Source organism: Homo sapiens, chromosome 3 (genome assembly GCF_000001405.40).
Source record: "Homo sapiens chromosome 3, GRCh38.p14 Primary Assembly".
Lineage (NCBI taxonomy): Eukaryota > Metazoa > Chordata > Mammalia > Primates > Hominidae > Homo > Homo sapiens.
The window spans coordinates 133,573,550-133,591,571 of record NC_000003.12 but is presented as its reverse complement, the minus strand read 5'-3'; the positions used below and the strand labels follow the sequence as shown (position 1 = coordinate 133,591,571).

The window sequence follows — 18,022 nt, the reverse complement described above, 5'->3', positions numbered from 1 at the left end:
ATGGTTGCATAACTTTGAGAATATAAGAAATTCTTAAATTGTACACTTCAAAAGGTGACTTTTGGCCAGGTGTAGTGGCTCCCAAAGTGGCTGTAAAACATTCCAGCACTTTGGGACGCAGAGGAGGACTGCTTGAGACCAGGAAGCTTGAGAACAGCCTGGGCAACATAGCAAGACCCCATCTCTTAAAAAACAAAATAGTGCTTGGTAGCACACACATTAATCCCAGCTACTCAGCAGGCTGAAGCGGGAGGATTCCTTGATCCCAGGAGTTAAAGGCTGCAGGGGACTATGATTGCGCCACTGCACTCCAGCACAAGACCCTGTCTCTTTTTTTCTTTTTGAAAAGAGTGACTTTTATCTAAAAAGTTAAAACTATAGAAGAAATTAAAGCAGGGAAGACTGATAGAGTGTGAGTTTGTGTGTGTGTTCTATCTTAAATAAGGTTGTCAAAAAAAAAAAAGATCTCAATCAAGCACAAAGAATAATCAAATAGTAAATTGTTAACATTACATATTTAAACTCCACTACCAAAATGACTGAAATATACTTTTGCTAATTTAGAAATCGAGGGACTATAATCCAAACTAAATCCTGAAATTTAAAATTACTGTTTTTGAGAATTGTAAGATTAATCGAACAAAGCCTTAAATCCTTAGTCTATATAAAGATTTTAGATTCCTTTGCCATAGTTTAAGGTAACAAAATTTAATACAGCAACAAGGACAAATGTGTATTTCAAGTTTTCCAAAAATATTTGTCACAGCTTTGCAGCCACTTTCATGCGTGTTGTATTTTTTAAATTTTCTATTTCTTTTTTTACTGTCTTTGGTTTGCCTAAATCCTCATCGGTCTTTTTTATGCTTGAGTACTCTGTAAACACTTCTGAAACAGAAAGTACACTCCTGGCCAGGCCCGGTGGCTCACGCCTGTAATCCCAGCACTTTGGGAGGTCGAGGCAGGTGCAACACGAGGTCAGGAGTTCAAGACCAGCCTGGCCAACATGGTGAAACCCCGTCTCTACTAAAAATACAAAAGTTAGCTGGGTGTGGTGGTGCACGCCTGTAATCCCAGCTATTCAGGAGGCTGAGGCAGGAGAATCGCTTGAACCAGGGAGGCGGAGGTTGCAGTGAGCCAAGATCACATCACTGCACTCCAGCCTGGGCGACAGAGCAACTGTCTCAAAAAAAAAAAAAAGTACACCCCTGAGTTTAGAGCATCTTCACCTTCCCACAGCAAGAGAGGTGTGACCTCAACTCACCATTTTCAAAGACAGAATAAGGCTTTAAAATAACCATTACAGTCCAAAATCCATATATTTACTTTTTATTGAATTTGTTAATGTTACAGAATTCTTGCACTGCCAAACCATGCCTGAGAATTCAAACAAATGGTACAATGGACAGCCTCATCCACCCATCATACAGTATATTAAAACTTGATTCATTTATATTTTGATATTTTCACAATCTTTTAAAAAGTTATAACAAGAGTTGTAATTTAAATCTGCTGCAGGTCTTCAGATTTCGAGTACAATATGCCTTTACATAACACCTCCACTTACTCATCTGTTCATTCTTCAGTAACATAACCCCCAACAAAATTTTGTTGGGAAAAAATGCAGGGAAAATGCACAGTTCAACGATGAAGAGATTTTTTTAAGGTTTTTCATTCCCAAATAAAAGTCTTCAGTTTACCAAGAATCCCATTTCTGATTTAATCATTCAACCTTCCCTTGGCTGGCTCAGTTACTCACCCAAATATATTAGAAGGCAGGCATCCTGCCTGCCACCTCAAATGTCAACATTGCCCAGATGCGAGTGGCAGGTCCCGTCAGGAGATACTGTAACCCTCCTCGGAGTCCAATTCCTGCACGGACACTTTCGTCAAGACTAAACTCCTATCTGAAAACGCTCCCACGTCAAAATAGTTTTACTCACCCACTTGCTTCACTCTTGCCAGTAGCAAGTCTGCAACTCATGCATTTGGCAAAGGGATTTATTATAGAGAAACCCGGACTCTGCATCAAATGATGACATTACCACTTTCACATATTTCTATTGAACCAGATACAAAACTAGGAAACTGCCAGACCATCTTGTTAGGTGGACACTCTTCTGTAATCCTGGGTAGCTTCCTCAAGTCCCTTTAAATGACCCAAAACTATTAATAGGTATTTTAAGCAATAATTATTAAAAACAGAAGTGCTACATCACCTGTCTTTCGCCCTGACTCTCCAAATGAACATAAAGACACACCAAAAGGCTGGTAACAGAGCTAGCTGGGACAATCACTGCATCTATAGAACAGCCAATACCTTGAAAAACTAGGCACAAGTACATGAGGAATTCTTATCAAAGATCATGCACAATCCATGCCACTTAAATGGGTTTTAGCTGAGGTTTTGCTCATGTTACTCTGAATTTCTAAGGACAGATCAGTGACCCTCTTAGCCTGAGCAGAAAGCATATTCTTCCCACTGCAGTTTCCTACACAATTTAGTCCTGATTAGATGAGGCATTATAGCAGCACCTGAAGTAGAGCCTCCAGAATCCACTGCCCTTTTCATCAAAGGCTATTTGGTTCCACCCTCAGGATTGGCATACTCACGAGACATTTCACAATCCTAATGCATACTTTAGGTTACTTAATTAACCAAGCAATATGCTCTGTCAAAGAACTTATTTCAAGTCAAAGCAAAAAAGGCCTTAATGCAGAACAAAAACAAAACAAAAAAGCACTATCCAAATAAAAAAATTACCAAAAAAAAAAAACCCCCAAGATTATTCTCTCCCTTCCCCTTCCCCCACTTGGTGGACCCCAGTTTGGTTGAATTTATTTTGTGGTTACCTCAGAATACAATTAGTTTAAATTACAAATCACAGCCCTACACAGATGATCTGAACACATCAGTTCTTTTCAGCAGTGTGTTCCAGGAAGTCTAATATAACAACAGCCTACTACAGAGAGTATTCCTTAAGGGTAGGGCACAGGACAGGTTAATTAAGGTCACTTAAATCTTCATCTTTTACAGCAGATCAGAACCCAGATGGCTGACTTTTTATGCAGGATTTCTGATAAGAATCCAGTAGAGCTGGTTGCAAGGTTCACATCGACACTTAATAGTTGTAATCTTCTTATCCAGAAGTTGTGATCCACATGAAGTCCACAATGAGTGCAGCAAATCTGAGGTAGTCAACCCTTATGAAGGCTCAGTATCTGAACATAAAAAGATTTTGAAATGACCACTGGCTGCAGGTTTTGGTTTTTTGTATTTGCAGAGTAAATATGAAAGAACACTGTTGAAACTAGTTCACACATTTATGTAACAATGAAAATTCCCCTAAATCCAATATGCATAGAGCAGTCGTGACACTTTAACTTCCATAGTGCAATAGGGCCGGTCATGAAATCGAGTGGTCTGCATCGGTGTCTGTAGATCCAGCAGAGATCAGATGATGAATGGCTGTTGGTGGTGGTTAGCTGCAGTCTAGTTACCTCAGAAGGGTTAGCAAAGCCCATTCCTTAATTGTATTGTGAGTGGCTGCTTTTCTGATTTTCAAGCACAGCATATTGGTTGTCTAGCTGAAGTTTAAGGGCCTGGTTTTTTGAAACCTCATCCCTACCTCTATTTTTGTGTCTTACTACTTCAAAGCTCTTCTCCATTTCTTTATCCCTAAGGGAAAAGAAATGTAATCAGTAAATATTTCTTCTTCACTAGGGTTTTTGAAAATATTCGTCCTTGAATTTAAAAAAAAGCCACCCCTTAGAAGAATCCTGGGGAGGGGTAGGAGTGGAGGCATATAGAAAATCCTTATCAAACCATTTTAAGGCTTCAATTCAAACAGAAAACACAGAACGCTGTATTGAAGCTCTAGGGTCCTATCTTCTACTGAACAGTATTAACTGTGACCCTATTTCAGGACAAACTTGAAGAAAACTGTTAAAAGCTGTGTAATGACATTCCTCCTAAGACTCTTACTTTTAGCAAGTAATAGATAATACATCTCTCTCTTTATGCACAAGGGTAACAATTTTCTCATTCAAGTAAATTCTACTCATTAGTCAATGATTTCTCCTCACATCGATTTTGTGGGAGTGGATCTGATTAGATCAGGTAAAGAAACTCGAGTGTGGTGAATCACTGCCCTCCCAAGGTCCCTTACACATTTTTTAAGACAGAGCAGAGGAGCAAGTCCACGTGGAGGTTTAAATTCAAGCCAGCTGTGCTCTCAAAGTGGTGAAAAGGCTGGGATTTATTCTAAAAGCCACCCCAAAAAACACATTTCCATCTGATGTCATTTACATTTCTTCCCATTTTATTTATTTTAAAAAATTCATGTCCCTAAAGTAAGATGTAGATGTGCCATATGTAGTCATTTAATTCCAGGTAGCATTCATTTTAAGTACCTGCTGAAATAAGATTATTTTAATATTAGATTTATAAATGCCAACATCTTCTGTCTATAGTCACATTAACTGGGAATACAATTAAACAGCGCTTTTATATTTCTAGTTTCCATATTATAAGGAGCAAAAGCCACTTAATTATAAAAGAATTTTAACTACATTAAAACTTGTCATTGCTATAAAACAACATAAACCAGGGCTAAGATAAACTTTTGCAGACAGAAGACAAAGTGTCTCCAATGCTCTTTGCCCTCCCCCTTTCCTCCCTTCTGGACATATGAAGTCCCACCCTGATTCTCACCTGCCTGTCAGCTGAAGCTCAGGCTTTATTAGTTAAGGAGTAGTCTCTCCCTTGGGTGGGTATGCACATCCCCTATATCCCACTCCCTGGCCTAGGAACAGAAGTCCCAAACAAAATGCAATTAATTATAGTACTTACTTCCGGCTTTCTACATGCTTGGCAGTTGACTGCAGGGATGGGAACTGTGTATCACTGTAGATTTCTGGTGGTCCTTGTGGTGTTTTCCTTGTTGTGGTTAACCTGGCCCCAGGAGGCCTATACACACCACTAGTCATCGCTGGTTCTGGGGTTTCTGTAACTAATATTTTATAACAATTTTTAGATAAACTATTTAAATGCTCAGCATTTTAATAAGCTATTCTTGCATTCCCAATCATTTAACAATTATAGAAAAAACAATACCAGGGTCTCTGGGTCAGACCACAGAAGGGAATTCATTTCAGAAAATGTCTGAAAGTGAAAACAGGCTGGGCGTGGTGGCTCACGCCTGTAATCCCAGCACTTTGGGAGGCCGAGGTGGGTGGATCACCTGGGGTCAGGAGTTCAAGACCAGCTGGGCCAACATGATGAAACCCTGTCTCTACTAAAAATACAAAACTTAGCTGGGCATGATGGCAGGCACCTGTAATCCCAGCTACTCAGGGGGCTGAGGCAGGAGAATGGCTTGAACCTAGGAGGCAGAGGTTGCAGTGAGCCGATATTGAGCCACTGCACTCCAGCCTGGGCAACAGAAGGAGACTCCGGCTCTCAAAAAAGAAAAAAGAAAAGTGAAAACATTGTATTTTTCTAGGGTAGTATTCTAACTCCTCCTCCACGTACAACTTTAGTAATCTACGTAAATGATGAGTTCCACAAGCCAAATTACTGGAAGTAGAAAAGGAATCTGCTGGGCTTGGATGACTGGTCTCATCAGGGACTGCCTCTCAGAATAGGACTTTAGTCCTGTTTCCCTACCAGTAAATATGAATTACTTCTTTACCTGATTGGTGGACTGATTAAGATGCCATATGTAAAGAATTTTTTAATGAAATGCCAGTGTGGTTATTTTTTAAGATTCTAGCCAGGGCTGGGTGCAGTGGCTCAAGCCTGTAATCCTAGCACTTCGGGAAGCCCGAGGCAGGCAGATCACCTGAGGTCAGCAGTTCAAAACCAGCCTGGCCAAAATGGTGAAACCCCGTCTCTACTAAAAATACAAAGATGTAGCGGGGCATGGTGGTGCACGCCTGTAATCCCAGCTACTTGGGAGGCTGAGGCAGGAGAATAGCTTGAACCCGGGAGGCGGAGGTTGCAGTGACCCAAGATTGTGCCACTGCACTCCAGCCTGGGCAAGAGAGTGAGACTTTGTCTTAAAAAAAAAAAAGAAAAAGAAAAAAAGATTCTAGCCAGGCACAATGGCTCACGCCTGTAATCCCAGCACTTTGGGAGGCCGAGGCGGGCAGATCACTTGAAGTCAGGAGCCAGACTCTGTCTCAAACAAAACAAACAAAACAAAAAGATTCTAAAGATGATTTAAAAACATAAGACCGGGTGTGGTGACTCACACCTGCAATCCCAGCACTTTGGGAAGCTAAGGTGGGAGGATTGCTTGAACCCAGGAGTTGAAGACTAGCCTGGGCAACATAGTTAAGATCTCATCTCTACAATAAAATAAACAGGTGGCATGCCCCGGTAGTCTACTTGGAAGGCTGGGGTGGGAGGATCACTTGAGCCCAAGCAGTTGAGGGGCTGCAATGAGCCATGATTGCATGACTGCTCTCCAGCCTGGGCCAGAGTGAAACCCTGTCTCTAAAAAATATAAAAATAAAAATTTAACATAGAGTAGTTATCTGTGATTTCTGCATAACAAGATTTGGAGTGATATGTTATTCTTTATAACATTCTAAATAAAATAATGAGTATACACTTCTTTAAAGTAGTGCTCTTAAACTTTCATTATTGCCCTAAGGAGACCTTTCAGACATCTGTTTCCTAACTGCCCCCCACTCCATGAAATTTTAATACTGCGATATACTATACATCTGTTTATGCATTCTAGTCTTTTCGTGGGCCACAAATGACTGTTAAGGTATAAGATTCCTTCATTCCATAAGAAGCAACTTTTACCACCTTGAGAATGATAAAATTGGCCCTGCTGAGAATTCATGCTTCAAAGAACAGGAAAGTTAAATAGGGAATGAAAAAGACAAAGCACAAGTGAAAGACAAGGGCCCCTTGTCTTTCTGTCTTTACTCAGCTGTCAAAAATATTTTAAATGATAAAAGCTTTAGGAATTTTCTCTCTCATGAAAACTTTTGGAGTTAAACCCAACCCTAGGGTAGTTACCACTAAAAATCCTAAATGAAGCTGACCTTGGATTCTAGTAAATTAAAGTCTTTTCCTTACCTTTTCCTCCATTAGCAAGTAGTTAATATTTAACGAGAATATTAGAAGAAATGCTCAATTCCAATAAATGAAACTGGAATCGACTAGTCTATATCTATATAAATTTTACAGCAACATACAGGACAAAAGCATGTCTTTTAACTTCCAGATTCCTTTTATTTAGGATTTTAAAGTCTTTAACAAGATATATACACATCCCACTCTACCAGGAATGGAAAGGAGCCTCTCCTCCTCACCCTACCACAATCATGCACTTAGTTGAAAGTGGACCATATATAAAATCATATATAAATTAGACATCTTTCTGAAACTGAAATAGTAAAATTACCAATTACTGGAGCAGGAGGTGCTTGTACTGGAGCTGTTTTATTCCAGGGACCTGAAGATTTTTCCATACCTCCACCACCACCTCCACCTTCTTCCCAGTTATCACCTGGATCTTGTCTCTTTTCATTATCGTCTTCTTCCTTTTCACTGCTGGAAAAGCAAAGATGTAAATTCATTAAGGAATCACCAAGAAAATTTTCAGTCCAAATCGTTAGTTTTATCCATGATTATCTGTACGACCCTGAAGAAGTCAATCTCTTTCGAGACTGAACGTCTTATTTAAAAAGTGAGGCCAGGTACAGTGGCTCACACCTGTAATCCCAGGACTTTGGGAGGCCAAGATGGGTGCACCACCTGAGGTCAGGTGTTCAAGACCAGGCTGGGCAACATGGCGAAACCCATCTGTACTAAAAATACAAAAATGAGCCAGGCATGGGGGCACACACCTACAATGCCAGCTACTGGGGAAGCTGAGGCAGGAGAATCCCTTGAACCCGGAAGGCAGAGGCTGCAGTGAGCTGAGATCGTGCCACTGCACTCCCTCCTGGGCGACAGAGCGTGACTGTCTCAAAAAAATAAAAATAAAAAAAACCTGATGTGCCTCTGTGACAATATGCCTGATCATTTATAGCAGCCCCACATAAGAGCAAGACCCCAGTTACCACCTCAAGCGACTAAGGGAGGGAAGAGAGGATGATACAACCTGAAATGCAGAGAAGAAGGTGAGCTGAAGGATTAAGAGCACAATTACAAAATTTTCCTTGCACCAAAGTGTACAAACAGGCATTTAAGGTAAGCATATTTTTAGTGAGCAAATGAAGAGTTTTGAAAGTTGTATAATTTTATTTGCCAATCCTTTCGCACATAAAATACTCTCAGAATTAGAATTCACATTCCAGCAGATGAAAACAAGTCTGTGTCCAGTGTTTACAGAGGATAGAATTAGCCCCTAACACCAGACATGTATTTATCACCTGTTTAAAAAAAATATATAAGATCTCAGTCTTTGGCTTTCCAGATGTTATAAATGGAAAAGATACCCTCAGTGGTAACATACCATCTTAAGACTGCTTGCAGTATTTTCTCAATGCTAATTAATTTATTCTTGAATTGACTTGAGTCATAATCTATTTCTCCAAGGCATCTTTGATTATTTCTCTTTTTGCTGGATTACTTTTTATTATTTTGTGTAACTTTACATGTCCTAAATTACCAAGTGTATTTATCTTTTGTCTCTTGACAAAAGGGATACTGACAACAGGGATATTAAAGCACAATAATGGCTAAATCGAACGTCCTTTTTGCAACTCTTCACCTCGAAGATACACCTGGCAGAAACTACCAACATTTTCATAAAATTATTTTTCATGACAATGGTGGCTTTTCCTAGGTCTTCAAGCTTCTCAACTCCTTCACCATTCTACCTTTTCCCCACCTTCCTATAAAAAAAAGGCTGGTTCCCAAAACTCTGTCCCTTGCCTTCTACTCATCACCCTGACTCTCTTAACTGTATAACCTTAGGAACATCACAGCCTCTCTTGGCTTCTGCAAAAGGATATCTAAGGATGCTTTCCTTCCATTTCTATTAAAACAAGACACATGCTGGCTATAAGACAAAGTTCTTGACTAGCTTGACAGTCTCCTTTAAAGATACTTAGGAAAAAAGTAAGTGGCAAAATGCCATTCAAAAATAATGGCACTGGCCAGGCGCAGTGGCTCACAACTGTAATCCCAGCACTTTGGGAGCTGAGGCAGGCCGATGACCTGAGGTCAGGAGTTGGAGACCAGCCTGGCCAACATGGCAAAACCCCATCTCCACTAAAAACACAAAAATTAGCCAGGTGTGGTGACACATGCCGGTTAGCTACTTGGGAGGCTGAGGCAGGAGAATCAGGTGAACCTGGGAGGCAGAGGTTGTAGTGGGCCAAGACTGTGCCACTGCACTCCAGCCTGGGTGACAGAGCGAGACTCCGTGTCAAAAATAAAAAATAAAAAATAATGGCAGCATTGTATGAATTACCTACCAACCAGAAGTGACTGCAGAATTTGGAGGCTAGAGTGACAATGAGGAAGAGTGGAAAGAAGAACAGATTTATCTCGTCTACATTTACAGCAAGATTTTACTTACAACTTTATCTGAGAGGAAAAAGGATAGAGAATATGGCAATTCATCCCTAAGAGGTCTGAGAAAGAAAAAAATGCAATTTAAAATAAAAATATAGCCAAGCCATCTCTCAGTTTTCCTTTTCGTTAACATGTAAGAGAATTCTATGCAGCCATTTAAAATGTAAACCCTATGCTGACATGGAGGTAGTATTCATGTCATATAAACCAAAATTCACTAAAACAACATCTATATACCTAATATAAATACAAAAACATCTACAACAATTTTAAAAAGTTTTATAGAGTAGCTCTGGGTGCTAGAATGTATGACTTTATCTTCTTCATGCAGCAAGCAATTAGGAGCAGATTCTAAAGTCAGGCTTCCTGGTTCAAATCCAGGCTCTGCCACTTACCAGCCAGGAAACTTTGAACATGGCACTTCATTTCTTTATACCTCAATTTCCTCTTATGTAAAATGGAGGTGACAACCCCATAATAATCAGCACTATTTACTGATTATCCCTAAATAGAAGAGACTACAGATAATTCTTACATATTTCTTTATGCTTCTACATTTTTCTCAAAAAAATTTCTAAAAACAAGCATATTATTTTTATAACCTACATAAAAAATCATTTTTTATTTTTAAAAATTAATTTTTAGAGACAGGGTCTTGCTCTGTCACCCAGGCTGGAGTACAGAGGCCCAATCTTAGCTCACTGCAATCTTCAACTCCAGGGCTCAAGAGATACTCCCACCTCAGCCTCCCAAGTAAGCTAGAACTAAAGGTGCAGACCACCACAATTGGCTAATTTTACTTTTTTACATTTTTTTGTAGAGACAGGGTCTTGCCCAGGCTGGTCTTGAACTCCTGGCCTCAAGTGATCCTCCTACCTCTGCCTCCCAAAGTGCTGGGATTACAGGAGTGAGCCACCACGCCCAGCCTCACAGAAAGCTTTTAAATAAAAACTCCTATTTGGTCTGATGGAATAGTGACAGTATCTCAACTGGAAGTTTTTTTTTTACTGTCTAGTGTCTAACATCTCCTTGCCCTTAGGAAAAAAATTAAAAAATAAAATAATCTCAAATTTAAAATACACCTAGTTTACAAACTATTACCAAAAAATAAGCATAATCTGTTTAATTAGAGGGATTGTACATCAATAATAAAAGGCACAAGGAGACAATTTAGTATTTTGGATTCTTGGCCAGGTGCAGTGGCTCATGCCCTAATCCCAGCACTTTGGAAGGCCAAGGTGGGAGGATCACTTGAGGCCAGGAGTTCAAAACCAGCTTGAGCAATATAGCAACACAGTGAGACTCTGTCTCTATTTTTTTTTTTTGAGATGGAGTTTCACTCCTGTTGCCCAGACTGGAGTGCAATGGCCTGATCTTGGCTCACTGCAACCTCTGCCTCCCGGGTTCAAGCAATTCTTCTATCTCAGCCCACCAAGTAACTGGGATTACAGGCATGCGCCATCATGCCCAGCTAATTTTTTGTATTTAGTAGAGACGGGGTTTCACCATGTTGGCCAGGCTGGTCTCGAACTCCTGACCTCAAGTAATCCACCTGCCTCAGCCTCCCAGAGTACTGAGATTACAGGCGTGAGCCACTGTGCCCGGCCAAAAGAAATTTTTTTAAATAAATATTTTGGGTTTTTCCAAATGTACATTAATAATAGACTGGATAAAGAAAACGTTGCACATATACCCCAAGGAATACTATGCAGCCATAAAAATGGATGAGCTCATGTCCTTTGCAGGGACATGGATAAAGCTGGAAACCATCATTCTCAGCAAAATATCACAAGGACAGAAAACCAAACACTGCATGTTCTCACTCACAAGTGGGAGTTGAACAATGAGAACAAATGGACACAGGGAGGGGAACATCACACACCAGGGCCTGTTGGGGGGTGGGGGACTGGGGGAGGGATAGCGTTAGGAGAAATACCTAATGTAAATGACAAGTTGATGGGTGCAGCAAACCACCATGGCACATATATACCTATGTAACAAACCTGCACGTTGTGTACATGTACCCTAGAACTTAAAGTATAATAATAATAAAAATAAATAAGTATTTTGGGTTAAGATTCTGAAATACTAGCTAAACTAAACATGTGGAAATTGTCTAGTCAAGACTCTTTATCAGCCGGGCGCAGTGGCTCATGCCTGTAATCCCAGCATCTTGGGAGGCAGAGGCGGGCAGATCACTGGAGGTCAGGAGTTCGAGACCACCCTGACCAACATGGTCAAACACTGTCTCTACTAAAAATACAAAAATTAGCTAGGCGTGGTGGCACATGCCTCTAATCCCAGCTACTTGGGAGGCTGAGGCAGGAGAATCGCTTGAACTTGGGAGGTGGAGGTTGCAGTGAGCGGAGATTGCGCCATTGCACCCCAGCCTGGGTAACAAAAGCAAAAACTCTATCAAAAAAAAAAAAGAACGAACAAACCAAAAACACTCTTCATCCAACAATTGAAGGAATTGAAGCCCAGAGATGCTTAGAGGCTTGCCTAAATGCCAGTTAGCAGGGTAGAAATGATTTACATATTTTATTACTTTTTCATCTTTACATATTTCAGAAAGTATCAACTCTCCAAATGTCATAGCAGAACAAGAAACACGTTCCAAACGGTTATTTCCATGGGAGACAGGCTGAAATTCAGTGTTTGACCCAAATATAATATATAGCTTCCCATCAGCTAAATTTTATAAACAAACACTACAATACTGCTGTAAATTCATCACAATTCCACATATACGGTCTTAAATATGTGTAAGTCTGTAAGGCACTACTGGTAAGGTGAGGAGAATAATGATGCTACAAAAGGGAGACTTACTGAATATCTACTACAGCAGGCAGCATTCCACCCCACTGTACAAAGTTAAACCTCACAGTAACACTAAGGCAGCCAAGAGACCCACTGTATGTATGTATGAGGAAACATAAGTACCTTCCCCAGGGCTACAAAGTAGCAGAGCCAAAATAGTGTGGGATTCTAGAGGCTCTATTATTTCACATTACCTTTTAATTCATTTTATCCCCTTTATAGCTCTAAGGTATGATGCAAAAATATTCTCTAAGATTTGAGAAATGCATTTTCTTTAGTAAGGCTGATAGGATCACACATCCTGCAGCAGTATATTTATAAAGAATAGAACAGCCTTATCTCTTTACCTCAAGAGACATGAGAATTTATACATCCTAACTCCCCTTCCCCAACACTAGGGGGAAGCAGCTAAAACAAAAATCAGACTGGATTGAGCTGCTGGAATACCGGGCATCTCCACAGGTTTGTCCCTATTATACCTAGCATTGCTGCAACAGTAAAATGGGGAGATACACATGGCCTGATCAGCTATGCCTGGCCTGGAGGCTTAAAATGGCACTGCACCTCATCCAAAGAATCTTTCCTGACCCCTTCATGGATGATGAAATGTCTCTCCTCTGCCCCAGAGCACCATGCACATCTCTTTGAAATTATCTACTGTTGTCTATTACAGCATGACTTATTTCTACAACCAGAGAACCTCAGTGTCTAGCAGAGTAGTCACATAAGTATTTGCTAGAATAAATCCACCTTGGATAATGTAACCAGCTCTACCTAAAAGGTTTAAGTCTAGATTTCTCACCAAAGTTTCTAGAAAACCACTGGGCTCCAAGAACTCAATTATTTACTGAAACGTGACAAATGCTCAACAGTGTATACCTTCAAGAATTAAATCTTTCTAACATTCTCCCAAAAATCCACTTTAAAGATGGAAGTGGCTGGGCCTAGCAGCTCATGCGTGTGATTCCTTTGCTTTGAGATCACTTGCGGCCAGGAGTTTTGAGACCAGCCTAGGTAAAATAGACCTCATCTACAGAAAAAAAAAGTAAGATTAGTCAGGGGTGGCAACTCACACCTGTAGTCCCAGCTACTCGGGAGGCTGAGGTGGGAGGATCACTTGAGCCCAGGAGTTCAAGACTACAATGAGCTATGATCATGCCACTGCATTCCAACCTGGGTGACAAAGTGAGACTGTCTCAAAAAAATGAAAAAATAGAGATGAAAGAGGCCTACAGGGCCTACAAACAACCAAGGATCTAACTCAAATGACAGCCTCCTTTATAACCACCTCAATGGCTTCCCTCTCAAGAATCTGTCTATAACAGCATGACCTTGAATAAGATCTGTTAATTCAGACACAAAACTGGGCACATTAAGTACCTTGGTACTTAAATCTTGAGCTGGTTGGTAAATGTGAAATAGGATCTTAATATATAATACGTTTGCTGCTAATGAAAAATTTCCCCTTTCAAATGTACAGGTAAAGAACTAATATGCTAACTACTATAAGGACCAGGGTCAAGAACTTTAAGATTGTATGTGACATCTGGCTGGGCTCAGAGGCTCATGCCTGTGATCCCAGCACTTTGGAAGGCCGAGGTGGGTGGATCACCCGAGGTCGGGAGTTTGAGACCAGCCTGAACAACATGGAGAAACCCCGTCTCTACTAAAAACACAAAATTAGCCAGGCGTGGTGACACATGCCTGTAATCCCAGCTACTCGGAAGGCTGAGGCAGGAGAATCGCTTGAACCCGGGAGGCTGAGGTTGCGGTGAGCTGAGATCGCACCATTGCACTCCAGCCTGTGCAACAAGAGCGAAACTCTGTCTCAAAAAAAAAAAAAGAAAAAAAGACTGAATGTGACATCTGCAGCTCTCAGTATACCGAGAAATAGAAAAAGATAAAGCACATGTAGCAGAGACTGGTGGATCTGAGTGAAGAACATATGGGAAGGAGTGTTTCTCAGTGTTGCAGGTTAGTGGAATACCTCTACTAGGATGGCCACTTAGGGCCAATGACTAGATGCTAAGAAAACAAAAAAAACAATATAAAAGCTAGTCTAGGCCGGGTGCTGTGGCTCACACCTGTAATCCCAGCACTTTGGGAGGCTGAGGCGGGCGGATCACGAGGTCAGGAGTTCAAAACCAGCCTGACCAACATGATGAAACTCCGTCTCTACTAAAAATACAAGAATTAGCCAGGTGTGGTGGCGGGCGCCTGTAATCCCAGCTACTCGGGAGGCTGAGGCAGAAGAATCGCTTGAAACCAGAAGGCGGAGGTTGCAGTGAGCCGAGATTTTGCCACTGCACTCCAGCCTGGGCAACAAGAGGGAAACTTCGTCTCAAAAAAAAAAAAAAAAAAAAAAAGCTAGTCTACCTTCAGGTTGAACAGAACTTAAATGCTTGTACTAGCTGATACTTACTTATATCCCTGGCAAGGGTGAAGTATGTAAGTTATTTAAGACACTTTTCACTATCTCAAAAGTAACCAAAATAGATCAAGATCAAAATAACCCTGAAGATGAACATGTAATTTATAGTCAGTAACAGAAAAACACAGGTTCTGTTTAAATAATCTCCATAGTTTAACAAAATCAATTTCTAATCCTCAGTGAACTTGAAACCAAAATTTTATCTTCAGAAAAGTGCTATTTTGCCAAGTTCAACATGGCCAAACACTATTCTTCCAGTCACTCACGTTTTCAAGAACCTGCAGTCACTTAGGAAAGAAAAGACTTAAGAAGAGCCAAACTTTACAACAGAACCGGAGCCACACACACAGGCAGTTCCACAACACCAAATGGTAAGAACCTCACATTCCCTCCTCCCCATTATTTACAGGTCAAGCCCCAGGAGACAGAAAAGAGAAAGACACATTAAGGAAGCCAACAAGTGGTTGGGAATCAAACTCAAGTCTAATCACTTCTACTCAACACCACTACAAAGAAATCTCAAGAGTGGAGAAGCCATCGTTCCTGAAAGTTTCCCATTATCAATCTGGGGGTTTCACTTTGGTTAAGCTCACAAAATGATGTTTTCACAGTAGGACATTAATGCCTAGCTGTGGTAGGTGTTCAACAAATGTCAATAATATTAACCCTGCTTTTTGAGTAAGTTATCTAAAGCTATAGATACTAACATCCAGAGAAGTCAAAAGACAGTTTTCAGTTAAGGAAAGTATTTCCTCCACTGTGCCTCGCACTCACTGGCATTGCCTATAAAATGCAACCTTCAAACTGGAGACAGTTTATCAAGATCCTTTATTTCTTTAAACCGGGAGCAAAGGATTTTTTCATCTTACAGCAGAACCATATCTTCATTTGTTTTTTCCTACTTTATGAACCCTCCAAAATATAGCACTTACTTAACATCAACCTTAAAGTTGACTGCCATAGACTGGACTTGACAAAATGTTAATTTCAAATCTTCTAAACTACCCAATTTTTAAAAATTACTATTTTTTTGAACTTTAAAAAATAACATGTTTACAAATATAATTCCATTCCTATGAAGTTTTAGAAAAAATTATGGTGTTAGAATAGTGGTTATGTTGAAGGTGAATGCAGTGAGTATGTGTTAGGAGGGGAACCTTGTTCTGTATCAGTAATACTCAGTTTCTTGACCTGGTGCTTATTGCACAGGTTGGTTGCACTGTGTGAACACATAAAACCTCTATCTCTCTGTAAGTATGATATACTTCAATTACAAAAACATATATTCACTTGCTTATTGGAGAGGATGTGAAAAACATCCACATTACTTTTGAAACCAAAACTAAGTACAATCACCGATGTTAAAAGTAAAAATTTTGAAGCGACAAAATCCACTTTAGCTGTCTCAAATGAAAAGTCCTAACCAGAACTGGAAGTAGGCAAGCTCTCACAGGATTTTAGAGTCAGCAGCTAATTTCATGAGCACACGGAAGGGCTGCCTCCATGGAGTGAGAAAGAGTAGACAGAACCCATTTGAGTCCTAATAAGCATATCTAGAGCACAAGGCTACTATGATGCTGCTTTGGGGCCAAAGGAAAACCTAACTTGTATCCAATATCTATCCCAAAGGTTATCTAAACACATTTGTAACCAGACTATACCTTATTTGCATTGCCTGAACCCTGAGGCCGCTGTAATCAACCTCTTTTTGCTCCAATTCTTTCCATTCATCTTCGTCCTGTAAAACAAACGCCATTTGATCAATTAAAGCTATTTGTAGACATATAACTAAGCAAATAACACACTACGAAAAGTGGATCAAGTGGCTGGAACCTAAACTAAGTATGTACTTGTCTTCTGGTCAAAGCCCTTGCTTCGTTCTGGGGCAAACTAGGCTAAATGGAGGACAAACATGCTCGTAGGCTAACACTATACTTCCGCTGGGTTCCTGCATGGGAGCTGTTACTTTAAGCAACTAAGAAAAGCCGAAGGAAGAAGTCAATAGGAATTTCACAACTACATTTCTACTTCAACCTTGCCACCGAGAGTTTTCTTTTTCTTTCACGGGCTTAGAGACTAAGTCATCACAAAAGAGCTGCTACAAATGCGGCTGCTGAAAGCGAAAATTCAGCTCAAACTACTGGGCTGAGGTCAGCACACGGAATTACTCAGCCTAGACGTCACCCGATAAACGCTGCTCTGTGCTGGGCACTGCGGCCCCAGACCTAGTGCCCCCGGAGGGTGGCGCCGCCCGGGCCTTGGCTAACGCCGAGCGACGCGGGGTGGGAAGGGCGGCTCCACCGCGGATATCGGAAGGGGTCCCGGCCCTGGCGAGCCCAGCCCGAGGTGGAGAGCCTGCGTCACGTGGCGGCCCGCGCCCGTCCGCCCGGCCTCCGCGGCCCCTCCCGGACGCTTCCCCGGCAGGCGGGGGCGGGCACATGGGGCGCCGGCGCGCGGCCCGGGCCCCGAGTGCCGGCCTCCCGGCCCCTCACCTTCGTCACAGCCTTGGTGGCGGCCCCTGGGCCCGCAGCCCCCGCGCTGGCGGTCCCGCCGTCACCCGGCCGGGTCCCCGCGCCCGCCCCGCCGCCCGCCGCACCCGCGGCTCCACTGCTTCCGCCGGCGCTGCCCGCTGCGCCCGCGGCACTCGCCGCCCGGTTGCTCCGCTCCTTCTTCTTCTTCTTGTCCCTCTTGGCAAAGAAGTTGTCCAGGCTCCGCTCCTCCGTCTCAGCCATGGCCTCGGCCTCCTCGACCCGGATGGGTGGGGCCGGCGGCGGGCGCGGCCCGCGGGGCTCCGAGCTCGGGGTCGAGGCCGGCTCTGCGCTCACGCTGCCGGGCGCGGCGACGCCTCAGCCCCGCGGGGTCGCCGAGGCGTGCGCGGCGAGACGGGCGGCTCCCCCTGCGTGCTGGCGAGCGGTGGTACGGTCCGCCCGGGGGCTCGCGCGCCGCCGCTGTCGCCCGAGGCTGCCGGGGCTGCCGCTGCTGCTGCGACGGCGGAGCAGGATTCCGCTCTCCCCACAACCTGAGGGGAAAAGGCACGCGCGAGCCAGAGGTTCTGGCGAGAGTGCTCGGCTAGCAGCGGCGCGTGCCGGAGGAAGAGGCGCGCGCGCAGGCCTGGAGAGGAGGGGAAGGGAGTGGGGAGGGGAGGGAGAGGGAGGAGGGAGGGCGGGCCGCTAGAAGAGAGAGGAAGCGCCTGCGCCTGCGTATTTTGCTCTGCCTGCCGCTGTGGG

General features: G+C 42.5%; 1 protein-coding gene across 20 annotated transcripts, besides 3 other annotated features; it reads right to left on the bottom strand.

Annotated features, from left to right (window-relative positions):
- Positions 1-1,297: 1,297 nt before the first annotated feature.
- CDV3 (CDV3 homolog) lies at positions 1,298-17,886 on the bottom strand. 20 transcript variants are annotated; one of them, XM_005247588.6, is made up of 6 exons: positions 17,288-17,886; positions 16,457-16,533; positions 7,422-7,570; positions 4,850-5,009; positions 4,411-4,413; positions 1,298-3,676 (listed from the first exon to the last, which is right to left on the bottom strand). In XM_005247588.6, exons 1-6 carry the CDS (start codon positions 17,525-17,527, stop codon positions 3,526-3,528), a joined length of 780 nt encoding a protein of 259 aa, XP_005247645.1. In that variant the 5' UTR covers positions 17,528-17,886; the 3' UTR covers positions 1,298-3,525. The 20 variants fall into 20 exon arrangements, with proteins under 20 accessions (XP_005247645.1, XP_005247646.1, XP_047304480.1 ...); XM_005247589.6 differs by having other exon boundaries at positions 7,422-7,567; XM_047448524.1 differs by having other exon boundaries at positions 16,964-17,326.
- Positions 16,918-17,307: a silencer, noted in NCBI's record as "silent region_14748". NCBI's record gives its function as "represses an Ori minimal core promoter by ATAC-STARR-seq in GM12878 lymphoblastoid cells {active_cell/tissue: GM12878}" and the evidence as "EXISTENCE:reporter gene assay evidence [ECO:0000049][PMID:35858748]".
- Positions 17,338-17,447: a silencer, noted in NCBI's record as "silent region_14747". NCBI's record gives its function as "represses an Ori minimal core promoter by ATAC-STARR-seq in GM12878 lymphoblastoid cells {active_cell/tissue: GM12878}" and the evidence as "EXISTENCE:reporter gene assay evidence [ECO:0000049][PMID:35858748]".
- Positions 17,468-18,007: a silencer, noted in NCBI's record as "silent region_14746". NCBI's record gives its function as "represses an Ori minimal core promoter by ATAC-STARR-seq in GM12878 lymphoblastoid cells {active_cell/tissue: GM12878}" and the evidence as "EXISTENCE:reporter gene assay evidence [ECO:0000049][PMID:35858748]".

Coding starts and splice junctions, on each gene's coding strand:
- CDV3 (XM_005247588.6), bottom strand. CDS start 17,527: ATGGCTGAGACGGAGGAGCGGAGCCTGGACAACTTCTTTGCCAAGAGG. Junction 16,534..17,287: donor CCACCAAGGCTGTGACGAAG/GTGAGGGGCCGG, acceptor TTTGTTTTACAG/GACGAAGATGAATGGAAAGA. Junction 5,010..7,421: donor ACCTCCTGCTCCAGTAATTG/GTAATTTTACTA, acceptor ATAAAATATTAG/TTACAGAAACCCCAGAACCA.